Raw genomic sequence first — 15,620 nt, forward strand, 5'->3', positions numbered from 1 at the left:
TCAGATGACATAGGCCTGAAGGCAAATGGCATTCCTCTTTGTCAAAAGAGTTATGACCTAATGATAAAGGAAACAATTCATGGGAAGTTTTAATAAATTCTAAATTTATTTGTACCCAGTAATTAGCTTCAAAGTGAATAATTCAACAGTCAACAGAATGAAGAAAGGATCTCACTAGACAAACCTACAATCGGATGGAAGACCTTAACACACTTCACTCATCACTTAATAGAGTGAGCCCACAAAAATGTGGTAAGGGGCCGGGTGCAGTGGCTCACGCATGTAATCTCAGCACTTTGGGAGGCCAAGGCGGGTGGATCACCTGAGGTCAGGAGTTTGATACCACCCTGACCAACATGGTGAAACCCCGTCTCTACTAAAACTACAAAATTAGCCAGGTGTGGTGGTGTATGCCTGTAATCCCAGCTACTCGGGAGGCTGAGACAGGAGAATCGCTTAAACCCAGGAGGCGGAGATTTGCAGTGAGCCAAGATTGCTGCCATTGCACTCCAGCCTGGGCAACAAGAGCAAAACGCCATCTAAAAAAAAAAAAGAAAAGAAAATTAAAAACAATGTGGTAAGGATATAGAAGTTCTGAAGGACACAATTAATAAAATGAACCCAATTGACATGCTGTTATGGACCGCATAATGGCATTTTGGTCAGCAGTGGACCATATACCACAGTGATGCCATAAGATTATATCATATTTGTTCTGTACCTTTTCTATGTTTAGATACACAAATACTTATCATTGCATTACAATGGCCTACACTGTGCGGTATAATACCATGCTGTACAGATCTGTAGCCTGAAAGCAATAGGTTATACCACATAGCTTAGGTGTGTAGGAGGCTATAGCACCTAGGTTTGTTGTAAGGTTATACCACATAGCTTAGCTGTGTAGGAGGCTATAGCACCTAGGTTTGTTGTAAGGTTATACCACATAGCTTAGCTGTGTAGGAGGCTATAGCACCTAGGTTTGTTGTAACCACACTCTAGGATATCTGCACAACAACCAAATCGCCTAACGATGCGTTTCTCAGAATGTGTCCCTGTCATTAAGCCGCATATGACTGAATGTAGGAAACTGAACCTCCAGTGGCAGAGAACACACGTTCTTTTCCAGTGTTTATGAGACATTTCTCAAAATTGATGGCCAGGCATGGTGGCTCACACCTATAATCCCAGTACTTCGGGAGGCTGAGGCAGGCAGATCCTTTGAGCCCAGGAGTTCAAGACCAGCCTGTGCAACTTGGGGAAACCCTGTTTCTACAAAAAAAACCCCACAAAAGTTAGCCAGGTGTGGTGGTATGCACCTGTAGTCCCAGCTACTCAGGAAGCTGAGGTGGGAGGATTGCTTCAGCCCCGGAGGTGGAGGCTGTAGTGAGTTGCGATGGCACCCCTGCCCTCCAGTCTGGGTTACAGAGAGAGACCCTGTCCTCCCATCCCCCAAAATGACTATACGTGTTAGGTCATAATCCACACCTCAGCATATTTCAAAGGATAGACTGAAGTCATTTAGACTTTAGAATCTATTCTCTGATCACAATGGAATCAACTTTAAAATCAATCATTAAAAAAAAAACACTAGAAAATCCCAACTGTTTTGGAAATTAAATACATTTTAAAAATAAACCATTAGAAAAAGAAAACAATCACAAGGAGAATTATAAAACATTTTGAATGAAATGATATTGAAAAGATAGTATACTAAAACCTATATTAATGTGGCTAAACCTGTTCAAGCACTTACAGGGCAATGGAGAGCCACAACTTCATACACCAGAGAAATAAAGGCTGAAAATCAATGGTTTAAATTTCTAATTTTCAAGAAATTAGAAAAAGAACAGCAAACTAAATTCAAATTAAGTAGAAGGAAGAAAATAATCAATATAACAGCAAAATTAATGAAATGTAAAATGCATATACAACAGAAAAAAATGACAACACAAAGTTGTGATTTTGAAAAGACTAACAAAACTGACAGACCTCAACGTCTGCCTCTGGATAGGATGGAGCAAGCAAACATTCCCAATTAAAACAACCAGAAAAGCCCACTTGATTACAAAAGTAATCTTTTCAAAGGCATCTAAGGCCAGGTGAGGTGGCTCACATCTGTAATCCCAGCACTTTGGGAGGCTGAGGCCGGTGGATCACCTGAGGTCAGCAGTTTGAAACCACCCTGGCCAACATGGTGAAACCCCGTCTCTACTAAAAATACAAAAATTATCCGGGTATGGTGGCGGGGACCTGTAATCCCAGCTATTTGGGAGGCTGAGGCAGAAGAATCACTTGAACCTGGGTGGGGGCGGAGTTTGCAGTGAGTAGAGATCGTGCCACTTCACTCCAGCCTGGGCGACGGAGCAAAACTCTGTCTCAAAAATATAAAATAAAATAAAATAAAATAAAACAAAAGGCATCAGAGAGCAATGAGGACTAAAGGGAGTAAAACTGCAAGGCGGGGGAACCTTTCAGAGGCGACCTAGGGATGTGTGAACAGCTGGTGATTGTGGGGGTGGACATTAAACAGAGAAATTGGGTTGGTCCAGGCAGAGGCCACTCCCGCACTGTGAGTTATGTGGCCCTGGAGTGACAAAATTGGAGACCCGGGTGGGCCCAAGTTATGACTGGTTTCCCTTTGCAGACAGGAGCCGAACTCTGCAAGGATGGAAGCCCCCACACTTTCGTGGTACGCAGGGGATCGAAGCCCAGGGAGAAAGGCCCTGAGAATACAAAAGTGAGCATATGGAGAGCCCTAGAGGAGGGGTCAGCTGAGGCTGTGGCTGCTTTTGCCCTCAGGGAACGTGCCCTTCGGGGCACAGCTGGATGCCAAGAGAATCTGGCCGTGTCCTCGGTGGAAGGACATTGCTGGAGGATGGAGGAATAAGTAACAACTTCTGAAGGTTGTGTAGGGCTTGGACTGACAAAACTGAAGATGTGAGGGACCTCCAATACAAAGCTGGTCATCCCCTTAAAATATCCACAGAATTAGGAAGCTGTTTGGAACAGGAAGCTCAAGAACTAAACCTATTCACTCCTCCCCCAACACACACCAGCTGCCCTCAGTAATGTGAGGCTGCCACCGGTTTCTCTAGGTGTTTCCTCAGCCCCTGAACAAGGATGGAGAACCTTTGCTCCGTGTGCTGAATCTGACTAGGCCTCACAGCAAGCCTCAGGAACTCCCGCTGTGCCGACAGCAGTCAAAACACAATGATGTCAGCGGCCCTTGCCTGTGGTACCCCTAATCCAGCACATGCGGGAGAAAACTCCGTGAGGATTTCTTATGCGCTCTCTCTGGGTCTCTGGCGTTGTGTGGGTGTATCTGTGACTCTTACTGTTTGTCCCTCTTATTATTCTCTTACTTTTGTGTTTTTCCCCCTCACATAACTGATGTGATACATAACAAAGAGCTTTTAGAATATCTGTTTCCTTTACCAGAGCTATATGTTCCTAACAGAAGATTTACAACTAGAGGAATACAAATACTTAATATTTGACTTTAAAAAAAATCTAATTCAGCTGGGCATGGGCGTGGTGGCTCACACCTGTAATCCCAGCACTTTCGGAGGCTGAGGTGGGTGGATCACTTGAACCCAGGTGTTTGTGACCAGCCTGGGCAATATAGTGAGACCTCATCTCTACAAAATAATGTAAAAATTATCCGGGTGTGGTGGTGCATGCCCGTGGTCCCAGCTACTCAGGAGGGTGAGGTGGCAGGACTGCTTGAGCCTGGGAGGTCGAGGCTGCAGTGAGCCCTGATCACGCCACTGCATTCCAGCCAGGGTGCCAGGGTGATACCCTATCTCAAAAAAAAAACAAAAACCTAATTCACTCTGTTACCATAAACATTTAGTTTGCTTAGATTAGGGTCGTGTCCCCAAGGTGGGAAAGAATATGTGTGGGGAATTCATGGTAGTGAGTAAAGAGCAGGCAAATTCTCTGGATATGTGAGTTTCATCAGCAGCCAAAGGGAGGAAGTGCTCTGCACAGAGGAAGAAGGAAAGCACATCTCGGGCTAAGCCAGGTGAGATGTCCCTGCCGTAGAGCAGGCACAGGAGAAAGGAGCTGAAATCTGGGACACAGGGTTGGGCTGTTCCAGACTCCAGCTCCCTACTGCATGTCTCAGGGGCCCTGAGCAAGCTTGCTGATGAGCTCTGCAGCTCTGCGTCTGTCTCCAGAGGCCGAGGTGGGGTCTCCAGAGGTGGTACTAAGAACAACAGTGAGCTGAACAATGTCCAATGTGTTCACAGAGAATGAAGAAATCAGACACAGACAATTACAAGAAGCTGGGATGATCAAGCTGTCCTCAAATTCCTGATAGATTGTACAGCTCAATTAATCTAATGACTCAATTTAACTAATCTTAGCCCATGTGTCGTTGGGTATTTTGTCATGTTATGTTCCCCGTGGGTCACTGGCCCAAAGCAACAAAATCATTTCCCCTGGTGTCAGAAACTGCACCTTCCACTACATCCCCATTCCCCATGTGCCTGGTGCCATGCTAAGTGTACAACAGGCACCCTCAAAATGCCTACTGAGAGAAAAGGTGGCAGACAGCTACATTTGCCTACCTGATACATATTTCCTCCTCCTCCCATAGGAACACAACCTTGTTTTTTCCATACTAGTAATGCACTCAGCCCCCAATTTTTGTATATAGATATAAAATAAGTATACATATTTATATATTTATAAAATTATACATTTATAATTATATATATATTTTTTCCAACCCCCCTTATAGATAGGTATGGCCACATAACACAGTCCTGGTCAATAAAATGTGAGTGGAAACTTGTTGGGGCAGTATCTAAGAAAGAACTTTTAAAAAAGAAAGACCTGGCTGGCTCAAGCACCTTGCCCTTCATGCCTCCCCATCTTTGTGCCCGAAACATCTGGAATGGCTGGTGCTCTGGCAGCTAGCCTGCATGCATGAAGATGTACCTGGAGCTGTGGAAAGCTAAAAGCAACCAGGGTGTCTGATGACATGCTGCACTGGCCCTGTAGCAGCAATATCTGGACTCCTGTTCTCAGAGACAAAAATAACCACCTCTCTTATTTAAACCACCGTTTTGTGGGTTTTCTGCTAATTCAGCATATGAAGAAAAGGGAGAGGGGAAGAGAAACAATTCAGACAAAGAATATAAAGGTTCCAGATCACCCTAAAGTTTTCTGCCAACTTTACCAGTTCTTACTTGATATTTACGTTAAATAACACATTTAAAAATATACAAGAGTCGGCTAGGCGCGGTGGCTCACATCTGTAATCCCAGCACTTTGGGAAGCCAACACAGGAGGATTTCTTGAGCCCAGGAGTTCAAGAGTGGCCGGGGCAACATAGTGAGACCTCATCTCTACAAAAAAATTTTTAAAAATTATTCAGGCCTGGTGGCATGGACCTCTAGTTCCAGCTACTTGGGAGGCTGCAGTGGGAGGATCACTTCAGCCCAGGAGATTGAGGCTGCAGTGAGCATGATCGCACCATTGCACTCCAGCCTGGGAGACAAAGTGAGATCTTGCCTCTAAATAAATAAATAAATAAAATGCAAAAGTCAAAGAGGGCCATTTCTTTGGTGGAGAATTTCAGAACATTGTTATGTTAAGTGTCAAAGGACAGACCATGAGGTGAATGGTCAGAGCAACGAACGGAGACAGGGTTTCCTGGGAGAGGGAATCCGCATCACAGGGTTGCTGTGAGAAATGATTGCAACTACCCAGAACAGGTCTAGACAATTCCAGAAAGAATAGCGCCCTTCTCCTTCCCCTCCTCACAGTAGATATCACACATCCAACCATGGAAAGCACATGGCCTTCATTCACCCCTAGTGAGCTCTGCCTCCACCAGGAGGCATGCGTCCACTCAGCATGCTGTCCTTCCTGGTAATTCACATGAATCAGAAGCTCTGCTATGTCTTATATTAAACAGGAAAGAGGGGAGAAGACAAAGTCTTATTGATAGTTAATAAATATAGTTCATAGAGTTGGCTGGGCGTGGCGGCATGCCTGTAATCCCAGCACTCTGGGAGGCCGAGGCGGGTGGATCACCTGAGGTCAGGAGTTCGCGACCAGCCTGACCAATATGGTGAAAACCAGTCTCTACTAAAAATACAAAAATTAGCCAGGCGTGGTTAACCAATATGGTGAAAACTTGTCTACTGAAAATATAAAAATTAGCCAGGTGCCTGTAGTCCCAGCTACTCAGGAAGCTGAGATAGAATTGCTTGAACCCAGGAGGCAGAGGTTGCAGTGAGCCGAGATCGCGCCACTGCACTCCAGCCTGGGTGACAGAGTGAGACTCCATTTCAAAATAATAATAATAATAATAATAATAATAATAATAATAATAATAATTTATAGAGTAGACAGAATCTTTCTGGCCACAATGGTGAGGACTTATGACAGTGATCTCAGCAGCAACAATGCAGGGACTTGGATCTGGGGACCCACAGGGCCCCATCCACCTGCAGACTCTATTTCTGCCATTCTCCCTCATTGATCCGGGGTAGGCAGCCACCCTCTGCCATGGCACAGGGAAGGAGATGGCTGGTGGGAATAAATAATTGGCACTTCCAATTTCCAGTATGAGGTTACCAGCCAACATCTAAGTGCAGCCTCTGTTTAAATGATGAACAACAGCATGCATGCTCAGGCAGGCAACCTGAAGTTTGTGACACAGACCTTCACTCCCACCTCCTCAGGGACAAACCTTCACAACCATTTTGCTATACTAATTGGGGTTACACACAAGATGTAGGGGAAGAGGAGGGCAAGAACATTGTATATCCATGACCAAAAGGACAGGAAGAATTAAAAAGCATTGTAATTAAAATTAATGTCCTTCTCACTAAACTCTGAGGCCAGCTACTACCTTGAAACACACGGCCATCAATTACTCAGCAAACCTAGTCTACCCACCAAGCCAGAATTACTCCAGAATTACACCTGGTAAGCCTCTACTACATGCAGCAAGCCTGCGGTACATCCTGGAAGCCTGTTCACATCCAGCAAGCCTATCTCACACCTGCCAGGCCCACATGACACCCAGCAAGGGTCTGAGTCTGACACAGACAGACATGAATTCAAGTCCAAGTTCTTGAACAGCTTAACAGCTGAACAACACTGAGCCAGTATCACAGGTCCTAAGCTTTGGTCTCCTTGTTTGTGAAATGTGTATACTCTATACCTACAGGCTTCCTGTGAGGAGCAGAAATAACATATGTAAAGCAAATTCCACATGCCTGAATATTGGAGGGGCTCAGTCCATGGTAGGTGCAGCTATCACATCACCGTCATCGTTATTATTCCAGCAATGACACTCATCATCATTGTAATTACTATCGCTGTTATTGCCATTACAAAATTACTATTGTCCATTATACTTAGAGCTCTCTTGAGAAGTCAATTTCAAAGGCTTCCACAACACTGAAATTTAACATTCCCAAGCCTTTATCATCTGGGAGCCTTACATCCGGTCTAACCTAAATCCTTTCTTTCTACTGCATAAGCCCATGATATTTCTAGCTCTGATTTCACCAGTAGTAGAAAAAAGCCATTTACCCTGATCTATAAACAATCTCTGCCAGTGATGATAATTTATATTTACATAATGCTTTATAGCTTATGAAGTGCAAACCCAGGTCCATAGTAGCCTGACTGTTGAAAATCACCCCACAGTTCTTGATCTTCAAAGATGGTCACAAGAAGACTTTCCCAAAGCTTAAACCGAACAAATCACTAGGAGGAAAACCAGTGCAAACTGGACTAACTGTGTTCACAGCAAATTGATTGTTACTTTTCATGATAAAACACAACATATCAGTTTGTTATGGACTGAATGTTTGTGTCTCCCCCAAATTCATATGTTTAGACCCTAACTTCCAATGTGAATGGGATTAGAGCCCGTATAAAAGAGATCCCAGAGAGCTCTCTTGCCCTCTTGCTGCCGTGAGAAGTCTACAGTGTACCACCCAGAAGAGGGCCCTTGCCGGAGCCCCAGCATGCTGGCACCTGAGCCTGGACTTCCAGCCTCCGGAATTGTGAGAGAGTAATTTCCATTATCTGCAAGCCACCGAGTCCAGGGTACTTTGTTAAAGCTGCCCAAACTGACTAAGGCAAAGTCCTTGCTGGGTTTCTGCTTTTCCTTTCTCCTCCCTGTGGGCATGCCTTCAGGCAGCAGGGAGGTCTCCAAGAAGCCCGCAGATAGGCAAAAGGAAGGGCTAGGAGCATGCTGGTTGCCACCATGGAGACAGCAGCAGAGCAGCTGTTCAGTGAGCTGACCTTTGGGGTCGGCCAGCACCCAGAGTAATTCATGGGGCAGAGAAGAGCACAGGGGTTGGAGGGCTCTGGCCCAGACAGGTGTAGGAACCAGCTTCAAATGTGCGAATGCCCATGTCCATCAGTCCTCAGGGTGGCATTCATTTAGGGCTGCACTGGGGATGCCAAATACTCTTCACATTCATTCATTCAATACATGCTCACTGGGCCCTACTATGTGCAAAGCACTTGGGGAGCAGCACTACACAAAAGAGATCAAATGTCAACCTTTGGAGCATATTTTATAATAGGGGAGGGCAAGCAAACAGACAGAATGCAGAAACAAATGAAAGATGTGGTGAGTGCCATGCAATACACAACACAGGTGCTGTGAACAGGAAACAAGATGAAGGAGGTGAAGGTGAGGAGGGTGGACTGCATTTGCAATGGGAATGTCAAGGTCACCTTGGTGGAGGAAGAGCAGTTGAACAGAGACTTGAAGGAGGCAAGGGGAGAGCCATGCAGTTACCCAAGGAGCCGCGATCTTGGCAGAGGGCATGGCCAGTGCCAAGGAAGAGCCAGCCTCTGTCTGAGGGGAGAGGAAGCTGATGTGGCTGGAGTTTCTTGAGCAAGGGGAGGATGACCAGAGCTGAGATCAGGGAGGTGGTTGGACCATGCAGGGTCTCCTAGGCCAGGCTCAGGCCCTGGTTTGTGTTTGAGGAGCCCTCGGTGGGTTCCACTGAGGGGTCGCTCTGGCTGCTGGGTTGACGATGAACTGTGGCATGGCCAGGGTGGAAGCAGGGAGGCAGTGAAGGGGATGCTGTGATAATCACATGGGAGATGCTGGGGGGAGCAGTGGAGTGGGGTCATCTCTTCTGGAACTATCTGGAAGGGAGCCAACAGGCTTTGTTGGTGAATTGGATGTGGGTACAAGAGGAAGAGGAGACTCAGTAAAGATGACTAGATTTTAGGCCTGAGCAACTGGGAAAAAAAGGTTGTTGTCTTTGACTGAGAACAGGAAGGATGTAGGCGGAGCGGCCCCTCTTTGGCTGTGCCCACATGGAGAAGGCAGGTAGACAGGTAGGTGCATGAGACTGACATTCAGGAGTTGCTCTGGGACATGAACTCAGGAGACGCTGGTTTATCAATGGCAGGTACAACCGGAAGCCAGAAGAACCTGCAACTGAGCTGATGACCCAAAGTTGTTCTCAGGTGACAGAAGGATGGGCCAGGTAAGGAGCTGCTCTTGGACTCAGATCACAGGTGTGAGTCTCTGCCTTACCAACATCTACTGCCACTTCTCTAAGATAGTCACTTTCCACTCTGAAAAACCAGGGGCAGACTAGGGATTATTAGTTTCCCGTGAATTTGTGAACTGACTTTAAGAATCAAGAATGCAGAGAATTGTGAGAGTTCAAGCTCATTATGCATTACGGACAAGGACCCGTGCCACGTAGCTCAGGGTGAAATAAAATCTAGGACAAAGGGCCCTGCACGGGCAGGGATGGATGGAGTCAGATTGGCACTCGTTTAGTTTTCAGCCCCTGAAATTCAGCTCCCATGGCTACCACTCACTCCATTGAAACTGCTCTAATCAAAATCATCAATGACTGGTTATCGGCCACCTGGTCCCCAAATCAGAAATCTGGGAATGACTTAAAACATTTCCTCTGCCTTATTCCCTTCTTTCTTTCTTTTTGAGACTGAGTCTTGCTCTGTCACCCAGGCTGGAGTGCAGTGGCACGATCTCAGCTCACTGCAAGTTCCACCTCCTGGGTTCCAGCAATTCTCCTGCCTCAGCCTCCTGAATAGCTGGGATTACAGGCGTGCGTGACCACACCTGGCTAATTTTCGTATTTTTAGTAGAGATGGGGTTTCGCCACGTTGGCTAGGCTGGTCTTGAACTCCTGACCTCACGTGATCCACCTGCCTTGGCCTCCCAAAGTTCTGGGATTACAGGCGTGAGCTACCACACCTAGCCTATTCCCTTATGTCTTATGTCCTATCCCTCATTTCCTATCCTCAACTCCTTATTTCTGAGTCCTTCTTGAATCTATTCTCCTGGCTCTCCCCATATGCTCATACAACAAAGGACCCTCCACGTCTTGTCTTGTTCTGGCTGGGGAGGGGAGAGGGTCTGGACTATTTCAGTAGCTACCTAATCCCATTTCTGTGCCTCTAGCCCTGCTCCGTCCTCCAGTCCATGCTCCTCCATGATGCTGCATTCTGGAGGCTTAGAAATAAGACCCATAAAAAGCCCATTCCAATGTCCGGCAGTGGGGCAGGCACCGGATGAAGGGGCCACTAATGTAATTATACTCTTCTTGGAAATATATTTTATTGCCTTCTTCTAAATTTGTCCACATGGACACTGCTACATATTAACTGAAATGCTTTCCTTAAAAATAGCTGAGGATGATTAGCTAGAGGGATCGTAATACGAATTTTAAGCAATCATTTAAATTAATTCCTGAGAAGTCTATGCAGAACCCTTCAAGCTGAGCCCTTTCTGGCAGAAACTCACCAGTTCCCATAAGCACATGCAAATCAGCACTCTGAGTTTCCCATATTTCACTGCCAGATTGTTTTTTTTTTTTTTTTTTTTTTTTCATTCTAGAGGAACAAACCATAGCTCTGTGATTGGAAACTCTCCACTGGCAGGCAGGGGCCGAGTGGCTTTGTACTCTCACCCGCAGGCTGCCCAATGATGCACAGTGCCAGGTATGCAGCAGATAGCCAAACCGCATCAATAAATGCTTCTGATATGTAAAAGCTTAAATATCAAAAGCTGGCCACATCCATATTGAAAGTATTCTCTAAGAAATGTGCCAATGACAATTTTTTGGCCAAAAAAAAAAATCCTTTTAAATTGTTGAAAGATGCCTAGAAATGGATCTGCTGCGTCCTGGGATAAGCCATTGTCCTTTAAAGTATGTTAGTATAAGAAAACAGCTGAACTTCTGCAGGATAGAAACAAAGAGAAACCCATTCTCCTACCTTCTTAAAGTCATGCACGTTAATTTTTCCATTAGGCTCCTTGCTGAAGTCAAGAAATCGTTTTTTGAATGCCGGGTCCTGCTGCTGTATACACTTTTTGAATTTTTCAATCACTTCTTCTGTGGTCATCTTCTTGGTCAGGGTGGTTTTATCCTCCGTGAGCTTGGTTCTAAAATCACAAGCAGGCATTTAGACCCAGTGTCAACTGACACACGCAGGGTGCTTCCTCCAGACTGCACCCATTTCCATGTAACCCATGACAGTAAGAAGGTTTCCCATCCTCGGTTCACTAGCTGGGAAGGGTGGAGTGACTCAGGGGCTTCTTACCCTCCCCTGGCTGGTAGGTTCCAGGGCCAGAACTGGAGGTCCCCAGCACAGTGTCCAAGTGAAAGCCCATGTACAGTGGCAGGCTGGGGACAGGGGAACTTGCAGGGAGAGAATATTATGGTCCTCGAGATTTTCAGTTATGCTTTGAGCTGGCCGAAGGTGGCATGTGACCGGGCACACAGGGTTGAAAAAGGATATTTTTTGTGAAGTGGAAAAATTAAAAGTCAGAGCCCATTAGAAAGCTTTAAATGAAAGAAATAGGCTGTTTTGTGGTAACTAGATCAAGGAAGTCATCAAACATCCACGGAAATGAAGGGAAGTCCACAGTTACTCCACAAATCGGCTTGATTTATAAAATACAAATTGAATGTGCTGTTCTGTGAGTCTCAGCGTGGATGTGTCTGAGCATGTGGGCGTGGGTGTTCGGAGGACAGCTATTTCCTCAGCTCTCTGGAAGTCTCTTGCGCCCCATATTTTTGGGGAAAAAACAGCCCTGAGACAGTCATGGAGAATGGACTTCTATTCCTTCCCCGCTGCGTCTCCTGATTTTTAAGAGCTCTCTGGGAAAGCTACATTTTATGAAATGTTTAATTGCCATTGCTTCTTTCACCAGTTTTAGGAAGCAAACATATCTTATCATGGAATATTTAACCCGTCTCTTAAAATACCATCTTTATGCCCATTTATAAAGCTGCTACTACTGAAAAGCCCAGGTATTCAAATTTAATTAGCATATCATTAAAATATTCCCATTGCTCTTTACTTAAGAACTTTTTAAAAGGGCTATGACAAAGTGAAGTCTGCTGAATAGTTCTACATTTTACCTTTCATTATGAATTTATTATAAGCAATGAATGAGCAAGTTAGAATAATATCTTTTCATTAAACTAAACCTGTATTTTTAAAATGAAGAAGAGCTAGAATATTCATCAGGCTAATTTTTTATAGATTTACTAAGTATGTTTTATTGTTACAATTCAATTTGGAAATCAGTTTAATCATTCTATCATTCATATTAAAAAATGTTAACTGATTTAATGGATGTGTGTTGCAATAAATATTAAATAGTGGCAAGGAATCTAAGTTTCTGGAAGAGAGTAAATGTGAATGCAGGTATGTAATAGAGAAGTTACAGATTGTCCCTGGGAGTCAGGAGTCCCAGATTCTTGACCCAGGCCAGCCACTAAGTTTGTGAGCCAAGTCCCCAAACCTCTCAGACATCAGTGTTTTCATTTCTAAATTTAAAAGGTAAATTCAATAATTCCTAAGATCTCTGCTTGCTCTAAAATTCCCTGACTCTAATTACTGTCTTTCTAGTGTGCCATCTTTCTTATTTATAAAATGAAATATTAAAATACTCAGTTGACAAATAGTTACTAAATACCTATTCCATGACAGACACTGTGGTTTTGATATGTGCATTCATTTTGCTTAATTTTACCTCTCAGAAAGATCTGGCTGCTGCTGTTCATCTTTTTGTAAATGTTCACTTAACAGCTGATCCTTTGGAACAAGAACTGGAGAGACAGTGGGTGGGCCATCAATTCCTATGCATGCCAAAAGTTTCTTGTAAAGGATTCTTCCTGAACCAATGTCCTGAATCTTACTGCAGAGTCTGAATTTTAAAAAATAATTAAAACACACTCAGTAGAGTAATTAAAACGGAAAAGACTGACCCTGCCAAGGGTTGGTGAAGATGAAAGTAACTACAACTTTCATCCACTGCTGGTGGGAATGTAAAATGGTACAACCACTCCATTCTTAGGCATTTACCAAAGAGAAATGAAAATGTGTGTCTACACAAATATATACAGCTTTATTTGTAACAGCCAAACATTACATATACAGCTTTATTGGTAATAGCCAGAAACTAGAAACAAACCATATGCCTATCAAGAGATGAATGTATACACAAACTATGGTAAACCCATTCAATGGAATACTACTCAGCAGTGAAAAGGAAAGAACTGTTGGTATATATAAAACAAAATGAATGAATCACAAAATTGTTATGCTTGGTGAATAAAGCCAGACAAAAAAGAGAATATCTTGTGTGCTTCCATTTACATAAAGTCCTAGAAAACACAAAGTAATCTATCATGAAAGAGAGCTATCAGTGGTTTCGTGGAGGTGGGAGGAGGGAGTGATGATGAATTGCTAAAGGGCATATGGAAGATTTTTGGGGTGGCGAAAATATTTGATATCTTGATTGATATCTTGTGATGGTTTTATGGATATTGACATATGATGAATTTCATCATATTGTATCATTTAAATGTGTGCAGAGTATTGTATATAAAGTATACCACAATGCAGATACAGTAAATGTAAAAAAAGAATTATAAAAAATTATATGACTGAAGGCAGGGGCTCACAAAGTGTGGTCTGAGGACACTTCCAGAGCATCGGCGAGGCCAGAACTAGTTTTCTGTTAACACTGAGGTGTGATTTACCTTCTTCACTCGATTCTTTTATGCATGTAGAGTCGAGTCCATCAGAGGCAACATGTGTGATCATGTCCTCACTCTGACCACAAATAAAATGTATTCTTGTGTAGATTGTGCTTTCTAACATTTTTAAGGTTGTAGGCTTAGGGTGTAAATGAGGGACTAGGGGTAGGTTTTCAGTGATTAACTCAGTTTCTTTATAGCCTTTCTACCAGGCTCTCTGCTAGAGACCTTCAGTTACACTTGCTATAACTGCTGTAACCTCATTATCGTCCAACAAACCACTATTTTGAAACTCCAAAGTTTTCCCTGAGCCTATATGAAAGCACAGCAAGTACACTTGTTTCTGCAATGACACTTTAAAAATGTCTCAGTTTTAATTTCTGATACAGTACATAATGACATACTCCATATGAGAAACACCTTTGGGGTTGTCAATTCTTCAGAGTATAAAAGTGTCCCGAGACCAAAAGTGCTGAGAACCACTGACCCAGGGCACATTCCCTACCTTTGCTCTGCCTCAGTTTCCTTATCTATGAAATGCAGATAATAAAAGTACCAAGGACTGCTGTAATGATCAAGTGGGAGAATCCACATAAAGCTGTTAGCACTGGGGCTGACATGCTCTGTGTATATGTGCTTAATAAATCGCAGCTGTAATAACAGTACTATGGTGTCGTTATGAGGATCTGCATATAGCTGGGGGCTGAGCATGAGCTCTGAAGCCATACTTTGCTCAATAAGTGCTCACTAGTATTATAATCGCTCCCATAAATATTCATGTGGCTACGTATGAAGCACTGTGCTAACTACTGTTGCCACAACTGTGAACAAACCAGAACAACGCCTACCTCACTGAACTTTGGTCAGCTGGGAGAGACTGTTCACTTGGAACAGAAGGAAAGATGGTCTGAAAGTCCAGGGGCAAGAGAGGGCCCAGCGTTTTCAAGGAGTGGAAAGCAGGTCAACATAGCTGGAGCTGAGACCAGCAGCAGCAGCAGCAGCAGCGGCAGCAACAAACACTGGCTGAGACCTCACCATATGCTTGGCCCTGAGGTAGTAAGGCTTTGTGTATAAGATCTCATTTGATCCTTATCACAACTCTAGTAAGAAATATCTGGATGAAGAAATAGAGGCTCAGAGAGGTTAAGTCACTTGCCCAGGTTTGGAGCTGATTCAACCCAGGCAGCCCAGCTGCACAGTCTCAGCTCCTGAGAGGTGAGAGGCTGGTGGAGGGCCTGTGAACCATCTGCATGGTTCCTAATGGCAGTGGGACTGCAAAGTGGTTTTTTTGTTTGTTTGGTTGGATGGCTTCTGTTTTTGTTTTTTGTTTTTTGTTTTGAGATGGAGTTTTGCTCTAGTTGCCCAGGCTGGAGTGCGATGGGGCAATCTCGGCTCACTGCAACCTCCGCCTCCCGGGTTCAAGTGATTCTCCTGCCTCAGCCTCCCAAGTAGCTGGGATTACAAGCAGGTGCCACCATGCCTGGCTTAATTTTGTATTTTTAGTAGAGATGGGGTTTCTCCATGAGTTGATTGTGTATCATTATTTGCTCAGTTATCAATATTTGATAATTGTGGTTTTAAAACGACATG

General features: G+C 44.1%; 1 protein-coding gene across 23 annotated transcripts in view, besides 1 other annotated feature; it reads right to left on the reverse strand.

Annotated features, from left to right (window-relative positions):
- EFCAB6 (EF-hand calcium binding domain 6) overlaps positions 1 to 15,620 on the reverse strand; it is a 283,528-nt gene that overhangs the window by 127,073 nt on the left and 140,835 nt on the right. For 21 of the 23 annotated variants that reach the window (XR_007067980.1, XM_047441462.1, XM_011530319.4 and 18 more), the window contains 2 exons: positions 13,022 to 13,195; positions 11,254 to 11,422 (listed from right to left, as the gene is read on the reverse strand). Coding sequence is in view for 21 of the 23 variants with exons in the window: in XM_047441462.1 (XP_047297418.1) it covers positions 11,254 to 11,422; positions 13,022 to 13,195 (343 nt within the window). In the remaining 2 variants the exon portion in view is untranslated. Of the gene's footprint in view, positions 1 to 87; positions 540 to 11,253; positions 11,423 to 13,021; positions 13,196 to 15,620 lie in introns of those variants that run through there. The other 2 variants (XM_047441465.1, XM_047441464.1) reach the window with 2 other exon arrangements.
- Positions 2,923 to 3,619: an enhancer, noted in NCBI's record as "H3K4me1 hESC enhancer chr22:44054653-44055349 (GRCh37/hg19 assembly coordinates)". NCBI's record gives its function as "activates a minimal SCP1, AML or CMV promoter by ChIP-STARR-seq in naive H9 embryonic stem cells {active_cell/tissue: H9 hESC(naive)}" and the evidence as "EXISTENCE:reporter gene assay evidence [ECO:0000049][PMID:30033119]".

Source organism: Homo sapiens, chromosome 22 (assembly GCF_000001405.40).
Source record: "Homo sapiens chromosome 22, GRCh38.p14 Primary Assembly".
NCBI classification, from domain to species: Eukaryota; Metazoa; Chordata; class Mammalia; order Primates; family Hominidae; genus Homo; species Homo sapiens.